The sequence below is a fragment of the Homo sapiens genome, chromosome X (genome assembly GCF_000001405.40).
Source record: "Homo sapiens chromosome X, GRCh38.p14 Primary Assembly".
NCBI classification, from domain to species: Eukaryota; Metazoa; Chordata; class Mammalia; order Primates; family Hominidae; genus Homo; species Homo sapiens.
In genome coordinates this window covers 114,599,132-114,622,090 of record NC_000023.11, presented here as the reverse complement: position 1 = coordinate 114,622,090, position 22,959 = coordinate 114,599,132, and the positions used below count along the sequence as shown (strand labels likewise).

At 38.3% G+C, this 22,959-nt stretch overlaps 1 protein-coding gene across 3 annotated transcripts in view, besides 2 other annotated features; it reads right to left on the bottom strand.

The window, feature by feature from the left end:
- HTR2C (5-hydroxytryptamine receptor 2C) overlaps positions 1–22,959 on the bottom strand; it is a 325,976-nt gene that overhangs the window by 287,971 nt on the left and 15,046 nt on the right. For all 3 annotated transcript variants that reach the window (NM_001256760.3, NM_000868.4, NM_001256761.3), the window contains exon 2: positions 8,210–8,276. The gene's annotated coding sequence lies outside the window, so the exon portion shown is untranslated. The remainder of the gene's footprint in view (positions 1–8,209; positions 8,277–22,959) is intronic.
- Positions 14,443–15,328: an enhancer, noted in NCBI's record as "OCT4-NANOG-H3K27ac hESC enhancer chrX:113841219-113842104 (GRCh37/hg19 assembly coordinates)". NCBI's record gives its function as "activates a minimal SCP1, AML or CMV promoter by ChIP-STARR-seq in naive H9 embryonic stem cells {active_cell/tissue: H9 hESC(naive)}" and the evidence as "EXISTENCE:reporter gene assay evidence [ECO:0000049][PMID:30033119]".
- Positions 20,453–21,068: an enhancer, noted in NCBI's record as "OCT4-NANOG-H3K27ac hESC enhancer chrX:113835484-113836099 (GRCh37/hg19 assembly coordinates)". NCBI's record gives its function as "activates a minimal SCP1, AML or CMV promoter by ChIP-STARR-seq in naive and primed H9 embryonic stem cells {active_cell/tissue: H9 hESC(naive and primed)}" and the evidence as "EXISTENCE:reporter gene assay evidence [ECO:0000049][PMID:30033119]".

Genomic DNA, 22,959 nt, shown 5'->3' with positions numbered 1-22,959 from the left:
GCAAGCCCTGATCATTTGTATAAAGCATCCACAAAGCTTTCATTTGAGAACATTTTGTAGTCACTTTCAAAGAGCCTTGGCCTTTCAAGTGCAGTTTTTCCTGGTTTCCTCAGTCATTTCTATACTTTCTCCCTCCCAGTAGTCCAGTTCTCTCTTGACTTGAAGTTCTAAGATGTAGAACTTAATAGCATCCCCCACTGCTCATTCTGGATGCTCACCTGACATCACTACTCATTAAGGTTTAAAACTATTTAGACATGCATTTAAGGGACCCCCCTTTCATTGAGCCTTCTCAACCTAGACGGGCTTGTTCTTCTCAGGCCACAATCCATTGCTTTCAGTTCAGAGAACATACTAATGCTGTTGCTGGCTTACATCTTTGTCTTTCACTTTCTCCTACTTGTCTGTCCAGGAAAAGCCTTCCTTCTTCAAGTCCTAGCTCAACTGTAATCCTTTCTACAAAGCCTATCCTGTCACACTCTACCTCCCCTCCAGCCTCTACAACAGTTATCGATCGGCATCTTATACCATAGCAGGGTGGTTGGCAACAACAGACTGTTTTTGTATGGCCTACAAGCTAAGAATGATGTATTTGTTTTTATACGATTGAAAAAATACAAAAAGATAAATAATATGTCATGATATGGGAAAATTGTAGGAAATTCAAATTTCAGTGTTCATAAAATTTCATTGGAACCCAGCCCCACTCACTCATTCATATGTTGTCTGTGGCTGACTTCAAGCTACAATGGCAGAGCTGAGTAGTTGCAACAGAGCCTACATGGTTCCCATATCCAAAATATTTATCATCTAGCTCTTTTCAAAAGTTTCTCATCCCCTGATTCATTACCTTGTGACTCCAAGTGTAGTCCATGGAAATCTGGGAGCTGGTTAGAAATGCAGACTCTCAGGCCGGGTGCCATAGCTCATGCCTGTAATTCCAACACTTTGGAAGGCTGAGACAGGTGGAACACTTGAGGTCCGGAGTTTGAGACCATCCTTGCCAACATGGTGAAACCTCGTCTCTACTAAAAATACAAAAATTAGCCAGGCATGGTGGCGCACGCCTGTAGTCCCAGCTACATGGGAGGTTGAGGCAGGAGAATCACCTGAACCCGGGAGACAGAGTTTGCAGTGAGGCCAAGATCGTGCCACTGCACTCCAACCTGGGCTACAGAGCAAGACTCCTCTGCCAAAAAAAGAAAAAAAAAATGCAGAACTCAGATTCCTCCCCAGACTGACTGCACTAGTCTAGCACTCATCATGCTGTCTTAAAATCATCAATCTTTTAGCAGATGAAAAACAGGAAACATGACCAGGATAATAAAATGTATGAATTATGGTAGATATATGGAATTTAATGCAAATTTGGGTCATTGCAAAATAGCCGAGTGCAATTCCGTGTAATACATATAAAGTATAATGTAATATTACAGCAGAAATAAGAAAGCTTAGCCAGGAAAGTATATGAACTAAGCATTATATCACTTAGCAAGGTATTCATTTAGTAACACCATATTTCAATTATGTTCATATATATTCAATATATATATTCCATATAGTCATATATTCAGGCAATATATTCATACTGTATTACATGTATGCATAAATATATAGTGTGAAATGTAAGCCGTATTGGCAATAATCTTAAAACTTTATAAATTATGCTATAACTCATTTGACATACATTTGAGTTTGCTTATTTAATAAAGCATAGCAGTGATATGATTTGATTATCTGCTATCTTAAAATGTGAATGTGAACCTCGTGCTGCATGAAACAGGGCAAGTGAAACTTATTCAAAATTTTTGCTGGACTGTTCAATAATGCAAATATGGTGTTAGGCATATATAAGTTTCACCTGCTTGTATAGATAACATTACATTTAAAATCATAGCAGTACTTTTACTGCTGTCAGTTATGAGTTGACAGCTCACATATACAACCCTTTGTTGAGGTCTTAGTTACTGAGACTTCTCATTTTTCACCAGGCTGCAATATTTACAGCTGCCACTTGGGGGAAGGTAGAAAAATATCCTCTGCAATCGAACAGTCACAGACCAACCATCACCAAAAATTATATAAATGACTTTTTCATAAATAATACCTATTTGTTTATTCAGTTATCCAGTCAACAAATATTTATTAAATCATTGGTATATCCTTAGCAGTGTGTTAGATGCTAAGAATACAATATTGAGCGAAAGCAAATACTGTTCCTGATCTCATGGAGTTAATTAACATCTAGTGGAGGAGACAGGAATCCTCAAGGAATCACAAAAACAAATGTATAATTATCAACTGTAATAATTGCTATGATGAAGGTACATGATGTTATCTATTAGGGTATATAACAGAATTCTCACCTTGTGTTAGGGGGTATGGTGGGCAGGAAGTCTTCCCTGATCCCAGAAAAAAAAATGCCTTTAAGCTCGTGTTTTGATGGCTTATATAGGAGTTAAATGGTGTACTGGTGATGTAAGTATTAGGAGAGATGGGGAATGCAAGGTAGTATTCACAACAGAAGGCACAATTTCTGGCAAGGCCCTGTGATCAGAGAGAGCATGTGCTCAAGGAACTGAAAGTAGATCAGTGGGGCCCAACTATTCATGAGGGGGGTGAGGGAATATATGATGCTGAAGAGGAACCAGATCAGGTTGTCTTTTATAAACCATGATAAAGATTTTGGTATTTTCCTAGGAGCAATAAGAATTGGGAGAACGGATTTGGGAGTGCAAATGCGTAATTGGGAGAACTAGTTAGAAGGTTATTCTAGTACTAAAGAGATGATGGAAATCCAAACTGGTATGATGTTTGTAGAAATGGAGTGAAGATATTTAGGAATTAAAACCGACTGGAGTTGACTGGAGTTAGTAATAAATTCATTACGGGGGATAAGGGAGAGTAAGCCATTCAAGGATGACGCAGTTTCTTGTTAATCCAGTTATCTGAATAACAGTGCAATTCCCCGTGATGCTAAGAAACTTGCAACACATTGAGAGTATTTTCTTACACAATTAAAACCCTAGGAAGTCACTGAGAATACTTTATGGAAGCAAAAATAAATATATAGAGATTAATTTATGTATACATCTAATGGATATACCACACATATATGATTTGGTTTTCATATTTTAATAGTATCTTCATTATTACTTTAGTATTAGTTTATTAGCATCTCTAAAGGCTTGTTATGAGAGAACTAAGTGGACAACTGTACTTAGATCTACACAGTGGCAATCTCTGAAAGGAATTGTTAGAAATTTTATGTGCACAATGTACTACTTGTCTGGGCCATATGTTTAATTTGCTGGAGGAAAAAATCATTTTTAAATAAGAGCAAAATGCAATTGAAACATGATGTAATATGCAAATAGTCACTTCACACAGCATATAAAAGCTTCCACACAATTAAAATGTCTGTATTTTATTTGAAAGAACTATGTTACGTTTAGAGTCATATGTACTAAAGGCTAAGACTAATACACATTTTCAAATAGCGAAATAAAAATCAATATTCTTGTGTCATAAACTCTTTAAGCATAATATCCTCTTATAAGACATGTATTAATTTACTTGGTACAGTTACTTAAGTTATACCTATATTTTATATTTAAGAAGATATTAATGTTTTGAAAATGTATAATTTAAAAAGTCAATCCGATTTTTGAAAGACATATGTTGAAAACCAGAAAACATACATATAAAATTATTTTACTGTTATTATCTAATATGGATGAACATGTAACTTTGAAACCACCTTGATAACCATTTGGCTACTTTCCTTTCCAAAACGAGGTAACTTTCACTTATTTCACAAAAGTTGCAGTATCTTAGAAAGGATGCATGCTAAACTATGTTGTTAGTCTTGTTGAATTTTGGCACAGACTATTGAGTGAAAAATATGTGTGGCAGATAGTTTTAACAGTTATCAGTTGGCTAAGTTAGATTATTAATTACGATAATCAGTTCTTTAAGTACTTAGTTAATTCCATGTGTTTTGACTTCAACTGATAATTATAAAGGATCATTTAAATTTTTGATTAACAAAAGCAAAAACTGCACAGAATGTGGAAATATCTTATAAAGTTCAGGTTTTCCTGTGCTTTAAATGTGTATGTTCATTTACTAAAATGCATTCCTGATTGAGTACCTCTCTTCTAGAAATGCTGTTATTTTGTCATAATATTGATAGTTATTATTAAACTAATTATTGAATATATTATTGAATGTATATTATGTGCAAGACTTCATGTTAGTTCCTGTAAGTGATATAAAATACATGTGCTATATATAGAACAAATTATTGTTACTTAACACACTCAATTCTCTGCTCCTTTCATAAATTATTTTTTAATTTTTAGTTTTTGTGGGTACATAGCAGGTGTATATATTTACAGAATATGTTTGACTTGTTGATACAGGCATTTGATTATATATTATTTACATCAATCAAATGAAGAGCTAGTGAGTAGTAAAATATATTTCATTTTTAAATCAAAGATGTGAAATTAAAATATTTGTGAATAAAACAGATAACTACAACAAACTGCAAAGTGAAATGATGGAATTGTCTATCAATGTAAGCAACATTTGCTATTTGTTATGGTCTATTTCTGTATTTCTGTTTTTCTTTCTTTTTTTTCTTTTTGAGACAGGATCTTGCTTTGTCACCCAAGGTGGAATGTAGTGGTGTGATCACAGCTCACTGCAGCCTTGACTTCCTGGGCTCAAGCAATTCTCCCACTTCAGCCTCCTGAATAGCTAGAACTACAGGTTTGCACCATCATGCCTGGCTAATTTTTAAATTTTTTGTAGAGATGGGAGTCTCACTATATTGCCCAGACTGGTCATGAACTCCTGGGCTCAAGTGATCCTCTCACCTTGACTTTTCAAACTGCTGGGATTACAGGCATGAGCCACCATGCCCAGCCTATTTATGTTTTTCTTGAAGTAATTTGGTAACCTAGAGTAAAGAACTTTGCAATAGATAACTCAGTTCTGTATCAGAGAACTCATATTGAAAACAGATTCTGTTAATTGAACTTGCATTTATTTATAGTAACACAAGACCACATAATTGAAAGATAAAAATTCCTAAATTGTTAATATAAGTGTCAAGAGAGTGACGATTATAAATCATGTTTTGACAATGTAGAACCAATGTATGCATACTATTTCCTCATTACATTAACCTTTTCTGTGAATAACTTGAAATGTTGATGCGGTTTTACAGAAAAAAATAATGTTTACCTTTGATACTTACTGATATCACAAACCTTATACAACTCAGGAGGAGCACAGTTGTCCAACTGATTATTTTCACAGGAGACATTGAATACATTACCTAAATTGTTACTTTGACTGTGATATAAATATATACATACATCTATAGCACAGTAGAATAGGTAGCATAAGTAAGGCTTTACGGAAGGTATTACTAAGTTCAAATGATAGTGGAGACAAATTTCTTTTTAAGATTTATTGAATTATATAGCTTAAAATGCTGGGCGCGGTGGCTTATGCCTGTAATTCCAACAATTTGGGAGGCCGAGGCTGTTGGATCACTTGAGGTCAGGAGATCAAGACCAGCCTGACCAACATGGTGAAACCCTGTCTCTACTAAAAATACAAAAATTAGGTGGGTGTGGTGGTGGGCACCTGTAATCCCAGCTACCCAAGAGGCTGAGGCAGGAGAATTGCTTGAACCCGGCAGGCAGAGGTTGCAGTGAGTCAAGATCATGCCACTGCACTCCAGCCTGGGCAACAGAGCGAGACTTCATCTCAAAAATGAATAAATAAATAAAAATAAAAATAAAATAGCCATAGAAATCACCAAGGACCCAGAGATTAAAAAAAAAACAACCCAAAGAATATCAGGCTGTAGATGTATACACATTACAATAAAACTCTTGGTACTCTTCTATTTACAGTAAGAATTAATATATTTAACAACACCAACATTATTTACCATAAATAATCAAGCTCCAACCTTCTATAATAAATATATTGTACATATCTTTTTCATGTCACTGATATACCCTGACAAAGGCAGCCTTACAGAGAAGTGAAGTAGGCAAAGGCCTTACATACCTACATGATGAGATTTGAGGCATATTTTCCCCTTCAGCTCATCAAGGGATTCAGTTATAGGAACCACATGTTAAACCATGCCTCCCTCTAGATGGGGTAGGACTTGTAAGATATTGCCACATTATGATGAATTTGTATATCAAATCTTCTCTAATTAATACCTAGATAAGAGCAAAGTGTCAACAGGTGTGTGTACAAAGAGGGGTGCACAGGCCTGGGAGAGAAGCAAGGAGTACTCACTATGGAGTTGTGAATATTTGGCACATAGAGGTCGAAAAACAACATGGTAAGGACAGAATAGCATTGAAAGGAAGACAGTAAAGATGAAATTGGCGAACTTCACATTCTAGTAAGGCTGACCTTGGTCTTTACTACCAGGCGAGGCTTACCATGCCAATGATATATGTGAGATAGTCTTGTGTGAACATTGTTTGAAGCCTGAGAGTAGAAACTTACCTGCATGTCCAGGTTAACCTATTTCACCAACGCATTGAAAACATCTGCAAGCAAACTTGAATCTTCACAAACAGAATGAGTGATTTCCTGTGTGCTTTCAGGACTGCTGTGGGGGTTCTTCAAAATTTTACATTTTATACTTTTTGAACGTCCCTTATGAAATTTTTTTTTATTTTTTCCCCTCTGGAAAGCTGTTGATAGCATCAAGAACTCTTTTCAATATGTATTAAAGAAAGTTACCTTTGCCATCATCTTAAATGGTGAGTAGTTGAATAAAACAGAACAATTGGCTATTCTGAAAAAGGGTACATTTTAATGCAGCCATTTTGATGCAACTGTCTTGATGTCAAATCACTGTTTTCTTATTTCTTTTATTTTTGATCATTATTAACATGTGCAGCAGACATTCCCAACCTTATTCCATCCCTATCCTCTTTCGAATTTTGATAGACTTCGACTTTTCACTTCTTTAATCTAATGCGTATATATTAATGTTATACTAAAAATTTCTGTTAAAATTTTACTGTCAAAAATGATTTAGTCTATACCATCGTATCAGTTCTTCCTCCAAAACTATCATTCTAAAAACATTTTGTGGTATTAAATATTTGTATGATTATGAGAACAATCAGAAATTTAATTGAGAATTCCCCATGCAGTCTGGAGTCGAAAATAAGGAATCCAATTTAAATTCACCTTGTTTAACTTGTAATATATTTACCCAATCAAATAATCATGCTCTAGACATCTATAGAATGTAGAGTGTTCCATTATCTGGATCTGCGTTTTTCAGCATTTATAAATGATACTCCCTTTTGAGAAACAAAATTCTCCTCTCCCTGCCTCTCCTGCTGAGATTTTTAAGTGCATCCATTGAGAGTATTTTGAAGAGCTAGCTATGTTTTCTAAAATTTATCATAGAAAACAACAGCTAGATTTCCTACACCCCAATCATGGATATAAGAGTTTGTTACTGAAAGCAGGCTGGGCTAGGTGGTTCACGCCTGTAATCCCAGCACTTTGGGAGGTCGAGGTGGGCGGATCACCTGAGGTCAGGAGTTCGAGACCAGCTTGGCCAACATGGTGAAACCCTGTCTCTACTAAAAATACAAAAATTAGCCTGGTGTGGTGGCATGCACCTGTAATCCTAGCTACCCAGAGGCTGAGGCAGGAGAATCACTTGACCCCAGGAGGCGGAGGTTGCAGTGAGCCAAGATTGCACCACTGCACTCCAGCCTGGGCAACAGAATGAGACTCCATCTCAAGAAAACAAAACAAAACAAAAAAACAAAAAAAAAACAAGAGTTTGTCATTGAAGAAGAAAATTGAACTTCGCTAACCTAATTGTCCCAATTTATACTATCATACTTTATACTTATTTACTATAAATCTGCGGTGGTGGTTAACAGTTCGGTAAGGGGTCTGCATCACACATTACTTAGTAATAAAATAAGCCGAGTTTTTTTTTTTCAGGTTGCATTAAAATGCTGTTTACCAATTACATAATATTCTTTTTCAAACATGTTAGGCCCTTAATGGCATATGTTTTACTAGTTCAGGGGTAGGTCTACACTAGCAAAATAATAGGAATCACCTTGATATAATAGTTGAATATTATTTCAAAATAAGAGTCTTGAGGCACGCTTATGTGTATACTTACAGTTGTTTTTGAAGGATGGCGTCAGTTGGCCTATGTTATAGATGCTCGCGGGTGTTAGCTGATAACCCTAAAAGCAAACATTGAGAAAAATGCAGTAAGAACTCCATAAGTAAGGTGCCACACAGAGTAGGTATACCATTCACATATAATGAATGGCTGAAAAGTAGTAAGGCTGATACCTATAAGCTTCAGAAGAAAGAAGTCTCATTTATATAAAATGAATTTAAAACAGCAAAATATTAGTACAGCAGGTATGTAAGAGGCGTTTGAACCAGAGCAACTCCATCGTGAATAGAGGCTGGGTAAAATGAGGCTGAGACCTATTGGGCTGCATTCCCAGACAGTTGAGGCATTCTAAGTCACAGGATGAGATAGGAGGTCAGCACAAGATACAGATCATGAAGACCTTGTTAATAAAACAGGTTGCAGTACAGAACCCAGCTAAAACCCACCAAAACCAAGATGGCCATGAGAGTGACCTCTGGTCGTCCTCACTGCTACACTCTCACCAGCGCCATGACAGTTTACAAATGCCATGGCAACATCAGGAAGTAACCTTACATGGTCTAAAAAGGGGAAGCATGAATAATCCACCCCTTGTTTTACATATCATCAGTAAATAACCATAAAAATGGGCAACCAGGGCAGGGCGCAGTGGCTCATGCCTGTAATCCCAGCACTTTGGGAGGCCGAGGTGGGCGGATCACTTGAGGTCAGGGGTTCAAGACGAGCCTGGCCAACATGATCAAACCCCGTCTCTACTAAAAAATACAAAAATTAGCCTGGCATGATGGTGGGCACCTGTAATTCCAGCTGCTCAGGAGGCTGAGGCAGGGAGAATTGCTTGAACCCGGGAGGCGGAAGTTGCAGTGAGCCGAGATCGGCCGCTGCACTCCAGCCTGGGTGACAGAGCAAGACTCTGTCTCAAAAAAAAAATAAAATAAAATAAAATAAAATAAAAAACAATCAGCAGCCCTCAGGGCTGCTCTATGAAGTAGCCATTCTTTTATTCCTTTACTTTCCTGATAACCTTGCTTTCACTTTACAGACTTGCCCTGAATTATTTCTTGTGCAAGATCCAAGAACCCTCTCTTGGGGTCTGGATCCGGACCCCATTCCTATAGCAGGTAAGTCAGTGTTCGTCCTTCTGCTAAAGAGGAAATTAAATATTAGTTAAGAATTCTAAATGAATCAGCAAAATTCTAAGTCAAATGTCAAGTTGAAACATTTCACATAGAACAATTACAGAGCAAGAGTAAATAGTATTTCATCCACAGATACTAAAACAATATTAGACGCTGGAAGAGGAAACAACATTTGAAAATCACCATTTCTGTATCAATTATTGTAAGAGCATCAGTTGCCAATATTTATTCTGGAATGCAAAAACAAGACTGAAATAAATATTAGCCAGCTATATTTTTGCAGTAGGACAAATAAATTTGGTGCAAGGACATTAATATTTGACATGTTTTAAACATCAAAAATTTCCCCAAACACATAAAGCATGATCAAAAAAAGTTTTAAATGCAGGGATTATTTTTAAAAATATAAAGCTAACTCTTGCACTCAGCCTAGTAAGTAAAATTGAGTGATGTAAAGATCATCAAAGTTATGAGAAATACATAGGAAATGTTAATTATTATATTGAGGACAAGATCTTTTGTTAGCTCATAAATTTATCAACATAAATTAACATATTTGAAGTATAATATAAAATATTCAATAAATGTTATAGCCGCATTTAAATAATTTAATGTGACTACCCCTTACATCATGCAAGATACAATGTACTACACCAACAAATTATATTTTTCATTCCTTATGAAAGTAAAAAATAGTTCTAACTTCAAATGAGTGAAAAATAACTTGGATTAAAACTTTGGGCCAGGCACGGTGGCTCACACCTGTAATCCCAGCACTTTGGGAGGCCAAGGCAGGAGGATCACGAGGTCAGGAGATCGAGACCATCCTGGCTAACACGGTGAAACCCAGTCTCTACTAAAAATACAAAAAAATAGCCGGGCGTGGTGGCGGGCGCCTATAGTCTCAGCTACTCGGGAGGCTGAGGCAGGAGAATGACGTGAACCCGGGAGGCGGAGTTTGCAGTGAGCCGAGATCGCGCCACTGCACTCCAGCCTGGGCGACAGAGCGAGACTCCGTCTCAAAAAAAGAAAAAAACTAAAAAAAACCACAACTTTGCTGTTTTAATCTACACTTCAGAAAATACATTTAGTATTTATAAATTTGAACCAACATTTTTTGTCTCTTTTACAGCACAGATTTATTGAAATGACTATGCAAGAACACATGATCACATTAACCTTCAATTTTCATGAAAAAGTAGGAGACTTATAGTAAATAAAAATAATTTCCTGGGAAAAAGGAAGATAAAATGATTCTACGTAATACGTACAAAATTAATAGCAATCTTGGAGCAATGATGAGACTCCATGCTTGGTGAAGAAGCTGGTGGCCAAGTTATTATTCTATACAACAAGAATTATACATCGCATCGCAGAAACGCATGAGATCATCTCAATACACATTAATGACCTGTTATGCCCGTCGAAGCTCCCACTTAACTTCACCTAACTGTTCAAGTACCCTGGGAGGGAATGAAAATGTTGTGGACCAAGAACTGCTAAGAACAGAATTACAGCCCCCTAGTGGCGAATTGTGACTATTGCAGACAGAACAATGTGTGCTATGATTGTAATTATGCCATTTATTCACGAAGAATTTATTTTTGCGTTTTTTTTCCCCCTTAGGGGAAGATTGAGATATTTAACACTAAAACATTACTGCTCCGTCATTAAAAATTATCCAATCAGATATTCTTTAAAAAAATTTCTCCAAGACCTATCAACTGAGAGTGTTTTCTGAGGTCTCTAACGTTTTAGTGTCGATTTCTAAAATTTTAATTAATTTTGCAAAAATATGAAGTACTTTGAGTGAAGTCAAATTTTTTTCTCTTGAGGCTCACTTGCTTCTTCCCTTCCTCCTGATCACGACATTCTTTATATTAACATTTTGCATCTATCATACACTCTCCTTTCCAATTTTTTTCCTCTCAGCTAATTATACATAAATTTGAGATACATTTTATGATTAACGCTCTGTCATTTCAAGTTTCTCTCCATCCTACCAAAGTATTATTTTTTAAATTTCCACAGTGACTGATTTTTTTCCCTTTGTAGGCGAGTGACTCTAGATAGAAAACATAGATGTGCCTGACCATAACCTTGCCGTACATATTAATCCAAACACCATGCCATTCCATTCTACAAAAATTGTGCACAGAATATTTTTAAATTTCGCATGTGCAATTCTATTACCTCTGACACTATTTATAACTGATTTATGAGGTGACATTAAGTGTGATTTTGTGATTATTCAAGACAGACTTTAACCTACTTTTCCTACAAAAATTATTGCTATTTTGTTTTCAGCCCACCCTGAGAAAAGATAATATAAAATAGTAGCTTCAATTCAAAATGATGCTTTAAAAGTCATAAGAACCCTGTGAAGATTTAATAGATAAGGTTGCTGCCTTATTTCTCCTTCAGTTGAAATAATATGGAAAAAGTAGGCATTTAAAGTGGAATGTCTATCAAAGAAATGCCCACATTACCGTGCATTAAAATGCCAGTAGTCAGTCCTGAGCAGGATGAGGAAATGCAGTCATTACAAAGAGCTTAATGCACTCTTTTCGATATTCATGGATATTCATGCTCATTTAAAAAGAAGGAGGTTGTCTTCCATTCAGTATTAAAGCAGGACCACAGAGGGACTGAATGGTACCCTTTACTGCCTACTTTGACTTTTTAAGGAATCCACCTTAATGAGTATAATTTACATATACTAATATGTGCATATTTTAAATGTAGAGTTTGACCACTTTTGATGAATGTTTACACCCGTGTAATTGCCACTGTGATGAAAACATAAAACAATTCCATCCTCCTGCTTCTTTGTAGTCACCACCTTCCAAGCTCCAGGCAACTACTTTTTGACTTCTATCACTGTAGATTATTTTTGCCAGTTCTGGAAGTTTATGTAAATGGAACCATACAGTATGCTCTGCTCGTTTTCTATATCTTCCACCCTTTCTTTGTTCAAAACGATATTTTCATCTTTCACTGAGTCTTATTTATAGACTATTTAAAGCATACATACATATCCCCTTGCCTCATCCTCTTTATTTATTTAAATTTTCTTAACTTTCCCTTCAAGTTATCATGTATTATTTAAAACTTCAATCTTTGTCTAACACGATACTGTCCTTTAAACTCACTGTGTCATGTCAAATAGAGTAATGGAGTGGATGCTTGGAACAATGGTCAGAAGTCCAACCGAACGTGGTCAACCAAAAGAGTAATTACAACAGAAAAAAACCATAGGAGAAATCTTTTAAATACAAAATGGTGCATCGCCCATCACTTCACATTTAGCACAATGCAGATAACGAAAACGATTATATTCTAGTGTGTAAAGAGCATATATATTTCAGAAAAATATTAAAATATGTATTTGAGGATGTAATTAATAGGATCTATTTTCTTATTTTATTAGGTATTATGAAATGTATTGTTTAATGGGAAGTATATTAAATAATACATATCAGATTTATTGTTTTAATGGGAAGCATATTAAATACTAATAAAAAAATCAGATTTTATGTAGAAAGCCCCAGTTTCTATATTCCGATTTTATTTACTGTTTTTTTATTAGTGATGTTAGTGGCCAAAATACATACCAACCAAAGTTCCTACTAATGTGTTATGCCACACCACTGTTGCAAGAGAAGTATTCAGAGCTAATTAGAATGACAGGCAATTTTATTTCATAAAAATCCTCTGAATAAGTGTAATTTTAAAGACGTGTCTTGCATATTAGAGATTTAGAAAAGAAACAGATGGCACACTTCAATCAATTGCTTCTTATGACATTCAACTGCAAATACCACGTACACAAAAGTTTTTTTGAGGTAAATGCCTCTTCTCTGGAAAGGATAGTTTTGTTTGACAAATCTTGATTGGACAGAATGGAAAAAAAATGAAAGAAATGGACTAGAAATTTAACCTTCCTGAGTTTGAAACTTAGTTTTTCTGAATCAATTTATTGTTAAGAGGAGTACTTGGAGGATGACTTCCTTTTTATTTATTTTGCCATACTAAAATAAAATTGAATAGCAAAAGTAAGGATGACAGAAGCTCAGAGACAAAATTTTATTACTTTCATTTCAGAAGTGTGAAAAAATTAAGAACTTAGCCAAATAAATCAAGACCCTATTGCCTAAATCTAACAACAAATTTTATTTTGTTTGCCAACCCTTCTTAATCTCAAACAACTTCTCTGACATTCCCAGCAAGTACATCCCTTAAAAGTTTGCAGGTTCTCAGAATAAGCAAATCTACAGAGATAAAAAGGATTACTGGTTGCCTAGTGCTGGGGGTTGAAGAAGTATGTGGAGTGATTGTAAATGGGTATAGGATTACTTTGGGGGGTGATGGAAATATTCTAAATTGTGATGATGATTATACAACTCTGAGTATACTAAAAACCACTGAATTCTACACATTAAAATAGGCAAATTGGATAGTATGTGAATTACAGGTCAATAAAACTGTTAAAAGTGATTCGGAGTTAAAGCCATTACTTCGAAGGAAAAAGCAGATCTTAAAAATATAGATTTTTAAATGTGAGAACACAGGATCAAATTAAACCTCAATTTTAATGAAACAGTAGGGGAGTTATGAAAAAGTCCCCTTTGCAAGAGGGACTGACTGTATTGTTATAAAATCCATTGGGGGAATACATTACTTTTACATAATAAAAGTGTAAACATTTTATACATGTAAGATTCATGAAAGGCTAGATTTTGTTTTTTTTGAGGTGGAGTTTCTTTCTGTTGCCCAGGTTGGAGTGCAGTGGTATCATCTTGGCTCATTGCAGCCTCCACCTCCCGGTTCCAGCAATTCTCCTGCCTCAGCCTCCTGAGTAGCTGGGATTACAGGCACGCACCACCATGCCCAGCTAATTTATTTTTAGTAGAAATGGGGTTTCACCAAGTTGGCCAGGCTGGTCTTGAACTCCTGATCTCAGGTGATCCACCCACCTTGGCCTCCCAAAGGGCTGGGATTATAGATGTGAGCCACTGCACCTGGCCTCAGATTTTAATTTAAAAATAATCCTAAAACCTGATGCTCTGCATGTGTATGAAAAATGTATTAACATTTTATAGTGATATGGAAGGGTGGAGCAGGACATCAAAAAAAATTAAAGATATGACAAATGTGCCAAACAACTGAAGCACTATGAAATATTAAAAAATTGAATAAGATACATTCAAAGATCAATTTTTATCTTGACCCTTTCTCACATCAGCAAATAATCAATGCTTGTGTATAATCAGAATGATGCATACTCTTCCATTGAGGATGACTCTTTTTCATCATTGATCTTAACGTTGTACCATAGGTCCTAGTGACTTCTTTGGTGAGGAAAATGTCAAGTCTTTAAGTATCCAATAAATGGCCAAGAAGAAGAAACTCCACACCTTCTTTATCATGGTCAAACATTGTGTTTGATATTTCATTTTAACTTCTCTACTCACAGTTGATATTAATTAAAAGTTGTCAGGCCTCTGAGCCCAAGCCAAGCCATTGCATCCCCTGTGACTTGCACGTATATGCCCAGATGGCCTGAAGTAACTGAAGAATCACAAAAGAAGTGAATATGCCCTGCCCCACCTTAACTGATGACATTCCACCACAAAAGAAGTGTAAATGGCCGGTCCTTGCCTTAAGTGATAACATTACCTTGTGAAAGTCCTTTTCCTGGATCATCCTGGCTCAAAAGCACCCCCACTGAGCACCTTGCGACCCCCACTCCTGCCCGCCAGAGAACAAACCCCCTTTGACTGTAATTTTCCTTTACCTACCCAAATCCTATAAAACGGCCCCACCCTCATCTCCCTTCACTGACTCTCTTTTCGGACTCAGCCCACTTGCACCCAGGTGAAATAACAGCCATGTTGCTCACACGAAGCCTGTTTAGTGGTCTCTTCACACGGACACACATGAAATTTGGTGCTGTGACTTGGATCGGGGTACCTCCCTTGGGAGATCAATCCCCTGTCCTCCTGCTCTTTGCTCCGTGAGAAAGATCCACCTATGACCTCATGTCCTCAGACCGACCAGCCCAAGGAACATCTCACCAATTTTAAATCAGGTAAACGGCCTCTTCTTACTCTCTTCTCCAACCTCTCTCACTGTCCATCAACCACTTTCTCCTTTCCACTCTTCAATCTCTCCCTTCTCTTAATTTCAATTCCTTTCATTTTCTGGGAGAGACAAAGGAGACATGTTTTATCCGTGGACCCAAAACTCCGGCGCCGGTCACGGACTGGGAAGGCAGCCTTCCCTTGGTGTTTAATCGTTGCAGGGACGCCTCTCTGATTATACACCCACGTTTCAAGGGTGTCAGACCACGCAGGGACGCCTGCCTTGATCCTTCACCTTAAGCGGCAAGTCCCGCTTTTCTGGGGAAGGGGCAAGTAGCTCAACCCCTTCTCTCCTTGTCTCTACCCCTTCTCTGCTTTTCTGGGAGAGGGGCAAGTACCCCTCAAGCCCTTCTCCTTCACCCTTAGCGGCAAGTCCCGCTTTTCTGGGAGAGGGTTAAGTACCCCAACCCCTTCTCCTTCACCCTTAGTGGCAAGTCCCGCTTTTCTATGGGGCAAGAACCCCCAATCCCTTACTTCCATGCCCCAACCTCTTATCTCTGCACCCCAATCCCTTATTTCTGTGCCCCAACCTCTTATCTCTGTGCCCCAATCCCTTATTTCTGCACCCTGACCTCTTATCACTGTGCCCCAATCCCTTATTTCTGCACCCCAACCTCGTATCTCTGTGCCCCAGTCCCTTATTTCCGTGCCCCAACCTCTTATTTCTCTGCGCCCCAATCCCTTATTTCTGCCCCCCAACCTCTTATCTCTGTGCCCCAACCCCTTTTCCCACTTTTCTGGAAGGTAAGAACCCCTGAACCCCTTTCCTCCATTTCTCTACTCTCTTTTCTCTAGGCTTGCTTCCTTCACTATGGGCAACCTTCCACCCTCCATTCCTCCTTCTACTCCCTTGGCCTGTGTTCTCAAAAACTTAAAACCTCTTCAACTCACACCTGACCTAAAACCTAAATGCCTTATTTTCTTCTGCAATGCCGCTTCACCCCAATACCAACTCGACAGTAGTTCCAAATAGCCAGAAAATGGCACTTTGAATTTTTCCATCCTGCAAAATCTAAATAATTCTTGTCATAAAATAGGCAAATGGTCTGAGGTGCCTGACGTCCAGGCATTCTTTTACACGTCAGTCCCTTCCTAGTCTCTGTGCCCAGTGCAACTCGTCCCAAATCTTCCTTCTTTCCCTCCCGCCTGTCCCCTCAGTACCAACCCCAAGCATTGCTGAGTCTGTCTAATCTTCCTTTTCTACAGACCCATCTGACCTCTCCCTTCCTCCCCAGGCTGCTCCTCGCCATGCCGAGCTAGGTCCCAATTCTTCCTCAGCCTCTGCTCCTCCACCCTATAATCTTTTTATCACCTCCCCTCCTCACACCTGGTCCGGCTTACAGTTTCGTTCCATGACTAGCCCTCCCCCTCCTGCCCAGCAATTTACTCTTAAAAAGGTGGCTGGAGCTAAAGGCATAGTCAAGGTTAATGCTCCTTTTTCTTTATCCCAAATCAGATAGCGTTTAGGCTCTTTTTCATCAAATATAAAAATCCAGCCCAGTTCATGACTTGTTTGGCAGCAACCCTGAGACGCTTTACAGCCCTAGACCCTAAAAGGTCAAAAGGCCATCTTATTCTCAAAGTACATTTTATTACCCAATCTGCTCCTGACATTAAATAAAACTCCAAAAATTAAATTCCGGCCCTCAAACCCCACAACAGGATTTAATTAACCTCGCCTTCAAGGTGTACAATAATAGAAAAAAGTTGCAATTCCTTGCCTCCACTCTGAGACAAACCCCAGCCACATCTCCAGCACACAAGAACTTCCAAACGCCTGAACCGCAGCGGCCAGGCATTCCTCCAGAACCTCCTCCCACAGGAGCTTGCTACACGTGCCAGAAATCTGACCACCAGGCCAAGGAATGCCCGCAGCCCAGGATTCCTCCTAAGCCGTGTCCCATCTGTGTGGGACCCCACTGAAAATCGGACTGTTTAACTCACCTGGCAGCCATTCCCAGAGCCCCTGGAACTCTGGCCCAAGGCTCTCTGACTGACTCCTTCCCAGATCTTCTCGGATTAGCGGCTGAAGACTGACACTGCCCGATCGCCTCGGAAGCCCCCTAGACCATCACAGATGCCGAGCTTCGGGTAACTCTCACAGTGGAAGGTAAGTGATTACCTTCTTAATCAATACGGAGGCTACCCACTCCACATTACCTTCTTTTCAAGGGCCTGTTTCCCTTGCCTCCATAACTGTTGTGGGTATTGACGGCCAGGCTTCTAAACCTCTTAAAACTCCCCAACTCTGGTGCCAACTTAGACAATACCCTTTTAAACACTCCTTTTTAGTTATCCCCACCTGCCCAGTTCCCTTATTAGGCTGAGACACTTTAACTAAATTACCTGCTTCCCTGACTATTCCTGGACTACAGCTAAATCTCATTGCCGCCCTTCTTCCCAATCCAAAGCCTCCTTTGCGTCCTCCTCTTGTATCCCCCCACCTTAACCCACAAGTATAAGATACCTCTACTCCCTCCTTGGCGACCGATCATGCACCCCTTACCATCTCATTAAAACCTAATCACTCTTACCCCACTCAACGCCAATATCCCATCCCGCAGCACGCCTTAAAAAGATTAAAGCCTGTTATCACTCGCCTGCTACAGCATGGCCTTTTAAAGCCTATAAACTCTCCTTACAATTCCCCCATTTTACCTGTCCTAAAACCAGACAAGCCTTACAAGTTAGTTCAGGATCTGCGCCTTATCAACCAAATTGTTTTGCCTATCCACCCCTTGGTGCCAAACCCATATACTCTCCTATCTTCAATACCTGCCTCTACAACCCATTATTCTGTTCTGGATCTCAAACATGCTTTCTTTACTATTCCTTTGCACCCTTCATCCCAGCCTCTCTTCACTTTCACTTAGACTGACTCTGACACCCATCAAGCTCAGCAAATTACCTAGGCTGTACTGCCGCAAAGCTTCACAGACAGCCCCCATTACTTCAATCAAGCCCAAATTTCTTCCTCATCTGTTACCTATCTCGGCATAATTCTCATAAAAACACACGTGCTCCCTCTGCCAATCGTGTCCGAATGATCTCTCAAACCCCAGCACCTTCTACAAAACAACAACTCCTTTCCTTCCTAGGCATGGTTCGAGTGGTCAGAATTCTTACACAAGAGCCAGGACCACACCCTGTAGCCTTTCTGTCCAAACAACTTGACCTTACTGTTTTAGCCTAGCCCTCATGTCTGCATGCAGCGGCTGCTGCTGCTGCTTTAATACTTTTAGAGGCCCTCAAAATCACAAACTATGTCAAATCTCTCTCTACAGTTCTCATAACTTCCAAAATCTATTTTCTTCCTCATACCTGACGCATATACTTTCTGCTTCCCGGCTCCTTCAGCTATACTCACTCTTTGTTGAGTCTCCCACAATTACCATTGTTCCTGGCCCAGACTTCAATCCGGCCTCCCACATTATTCCTGATACCACACCTGACCCCCATGACTGTATCTCTCTGATCCACCTGACATTCACCCCATTTCCCCAAATTTCCTTCTTTCCTGTTCCTCACCCTGATCACGCTTGATTTATTGATGGCGGTTCCACCAGGCCTAATCGCCACACACCAGCAAAGGCAGGTTATGCTATAGTACAAGCCACTAGCCCGCCTCTTAGAACCTCTCATTTCCTTTCCATCGAGGAAATCTATCCTCAAGGAAATAACTTCTCAGTGTTCCATCTGCTATTCTACTACTCCTCAGGGATTATTCAGGCCCCCTGCCTTCCCTACACATCAAGCTCGAGGATTTGCCCCACCCAGGACTGGCAAATTAGCTTTACTCAACAAGCCCTGAGTCAGATAACTAAAATACCTCTTAGTCTAGGTAGATACTTTCACTGAATAAGTAAAGGCCTTTCCTACAGGGTCTGGGAAGGCCACCACAGTCATTTCTTCCCTTCTGTCAGACATAATTCCTCAGTTTAGCTTTCCCACCTCAATACAGTCTGATAACAGATGAGTTTTATTAGTCAAATCAGCCAAGCAGTTTTTCGGGCTCTTAGTATTCAGTGAAACCTTTATATCCCTTATGGTCCTCCGTCTTCAAGAAAAGTAGAATGGACTAAAGGTCTTTTAAAAACACACCTCACCAAGCTCAGCCACCAACTTAAAAAGGACTGGACAATACTTTTACCACTTTCCCTTCTCAGAATTCAGGCCTGTCCTCGGAATGCTACAGGGTACAGCCCATTTAAGCTCCTGTATAGACGCTCCTTTTTATTAGGCCCCAGTCTCATTCCAGACACCAGACCAACTTAGACTGTGCCCCCCCAAAAAAAAACTTGTCATCCCTACTATCTTCTGTCTAGTCATACTCCTATTCACCGTTCTCAACTACTCATACATGCCCTGCTCTTGTTTACACTGCCGGTTTACACTGTTTCTCGAAGCCATCACAGCTGATATCTCCTGGTGCTATCCCCAAACTGCCACTCTTAACTCTTGAAGTAAATAAATAATCTTTGCTGGCAGGACTATGCCAAATCTCCTTAAGCACTCTCTAATCAGATATCCTGAGTTGTCCCAATTCTTAGACCTTTTATACCTGTTTTTCTCCTTCTGTTATTCCATTTAGTTTTTCAATTCATCCAAAACCATATCCAGGCCATCACCAATCATTCTATACGACAAATGTTTCTTCTAACATCCCCACAATATCACCCCTTACCACAAGACCTCCCTTCAGCTTAATCCCTCCCACTCTAGGTTCCCACGCCGCCCCTAATCCTGCTTGAAGCAGCCCTGAGAAACATCGCCCATTCTCTCTCTCCATACCACCCCCCCAAAATTTTCGCCGCCCCAACACTTCAACACTATTTTGTTTTATTTTTCTTATTAATATAAGAAGGCAGGAATGTCAGGCCTCTGAGCCCAAGCCAAGCCATCGCATCCCCTGTGACTTGCATGTATACATCCAGATGGCCTGAAGTAACTGAAGAATCACAAAAGAAGTGAAAATGCCCTACCCCACCTTAACTGATGACATTCCACCACAAAAGAAGTGTAAACGGCCGGTCCTTGCCTTAAGTGATAACATTACCTTGTGAAAGTCCTTTTCCTGGCTCATCCTGGCTCAAAAAGCACCCCCACTGAGCACCTTGCGACCCCCACTCCTGCCCGCCAGAGAACAAACCCCCTTTGACTGTAATTTTCCTTTACCTACCCAAATCCTATAAAACAGCCCCACCCTCATCTCCCTTCACTGACTCTCTTTTCGGACTCAGCCCACCTGCACCCAGGTGAAATAAACAGCCATGTTGCTCACACAAAGCCTGTTTGGTGGTCTCTTCACAGGGACGCACATGAAAAAAGTTATCTGGGGCAATTCTGTACCTTGATTTGCAAGCCTATCTCTTCCTCTCAACTGTCTTCTTGCTTAAATTGTACCAGCATATAGACCACTGGTGATTTTCCTAAAAAAAAAGAAAGAGTTTAAAAGCTAATGAATTCAGAAATGAGTAAAAAACTAGTGACAGTTTCTGGATATTCTATAGGTTTTGCTCTGAATAGTATTTGGAAACTGATTCTTAAAATACTCTTAGATAGCAGGTAGATGTGTTTGGTATGCTTTATTTTTATTTAAAAATCAAGTCATAATATTTACTAAACTTGAAATGACAAGTTTCACTGTAAAAATTAAAGAAAACAATTCAATACAAAATATATTGTCGATCTGAAGTTGTATGATGGAAGAAAACATTTTAAAGAATACATAAAATGGATCTTTAAAATTGGATCTTACATATACTTTGCATTTAAAATGCAAGTGCCATGTTTAGATTTGAACTCGTTAAATTATGAAAATATATTACTATTATATATGAAATTAGATTAAAATAGAATCACTTATTATGCTACAAAAGTATAAAGACAGTAGTAATTTCATGGAATATGCAGTCAAAATGTTTCCTGTGTTATTATAACTGCCTTTTATTTCCCAGTAAATGTGATTCTTAAGGTGATATTTTAAAATATTTTTAATATTTTTTAAATATTGTGATTCACCTTTTATTTTCCTATTTCATTACCAATTATTATTATTAGATAGCATTTTGCATACTTTTTCCATCTTTATTACTATTAGTAAATAGCTATCCTTCACCTCTAAAAACAAACTGAGATATTTGAAAATACACACATTCCTGATTTGTAGAAGGCGATATATGATTGATGTCTCCTGACTTGTCTTCCATTTAGTTCCTTGAAAACATTGTAAATGAAAAATGATTAAGTAAATGTTATACTGAGAGCATGTTGTTGTGCATGAGTATTTGGCATATTTTTAAACCTTAAGGCTGTTAATCAAGGTACTATGGAAAAAGAGCACACAACCTTTGTAATTAGACAGATATGGGTTTGAATCTTGGCTCAACGCCTTATTAGCTGTGTGTTTGGGCACATGACTTAACCTGTCTCTGTTTCCATTTCCTTTTTCTTACAGTTGTTGTGAGAATGACATGAGATAATATATGTACTTTGCAACACGCACTGAGTAGGATATGGTTAGGGCTCAATATTTGTTGATTCCTTTCCCTTTCTCTTTCCTTTTCATTAGAAGTGTCCGTGATTTCTTTCTTGGACTTCCTCCTATCTCCGAGATTCTGCTCTATATTTACTAGATGGAATGGTATATATAAATAACAACTTCAGTAATACTATAGTTTAAACATTACTGACATAAGTTTGAGTAAATAGAAAATTCAAACTACCTATCAAAATATACATTCAGGATTGCTGTGGGCTATGTACTTTCCTTCTCATCACCATTCCTTTGTGCACACCTCAGTGAAAGTTAACTATTTAAAATGTGATTGTAACATATGTGAATGTTTCAATTTAATTTCAAATCAATACAATATATGCAAGGCACACATGCAAATGAATCATGGAAAAATAATCACAGAGGTAAGCAGATTTCAATCTATGAAATGCATGTTTTTTTTATCTTTTAGATCATGCCATTGAGCTTGTTTGATTGTTCATGTTATGATTTCATCTTTCACATAGTCTGTAGTTCACAGAGACATTGTCCTTAAAAACCACATGAAGGTCACTGGTTTCCTTATAAAAATGACATAATGTATTAAAGCTGGAATTCTGTAGCTAGTGACTCATGCTTGCATTTGTACATTTTAAGAGATGTAATTTATAGAAAGGAAGCATCCAGTCTTGAGCTCTTTCAGACTTCGATTGCTCAAATAAATTAAGAAATAAAGGCTATCATAAATAAGAGCACATGGCCTGTTAACTGGTCAGTCATCTAATTTAAACTTCAAAAAATACTCTTATTTGTCTTTACATGTTTCTCTCTCATTGTGAAACATACGGATATTATATAACACACACACATATACATCTTCTACCTATATGTTAGTAAGAACAAGTCATAATTTTGAAAGTATTCACATACTTGTATTAACTTTCTAATTTTTGAAGCCAAAAATGC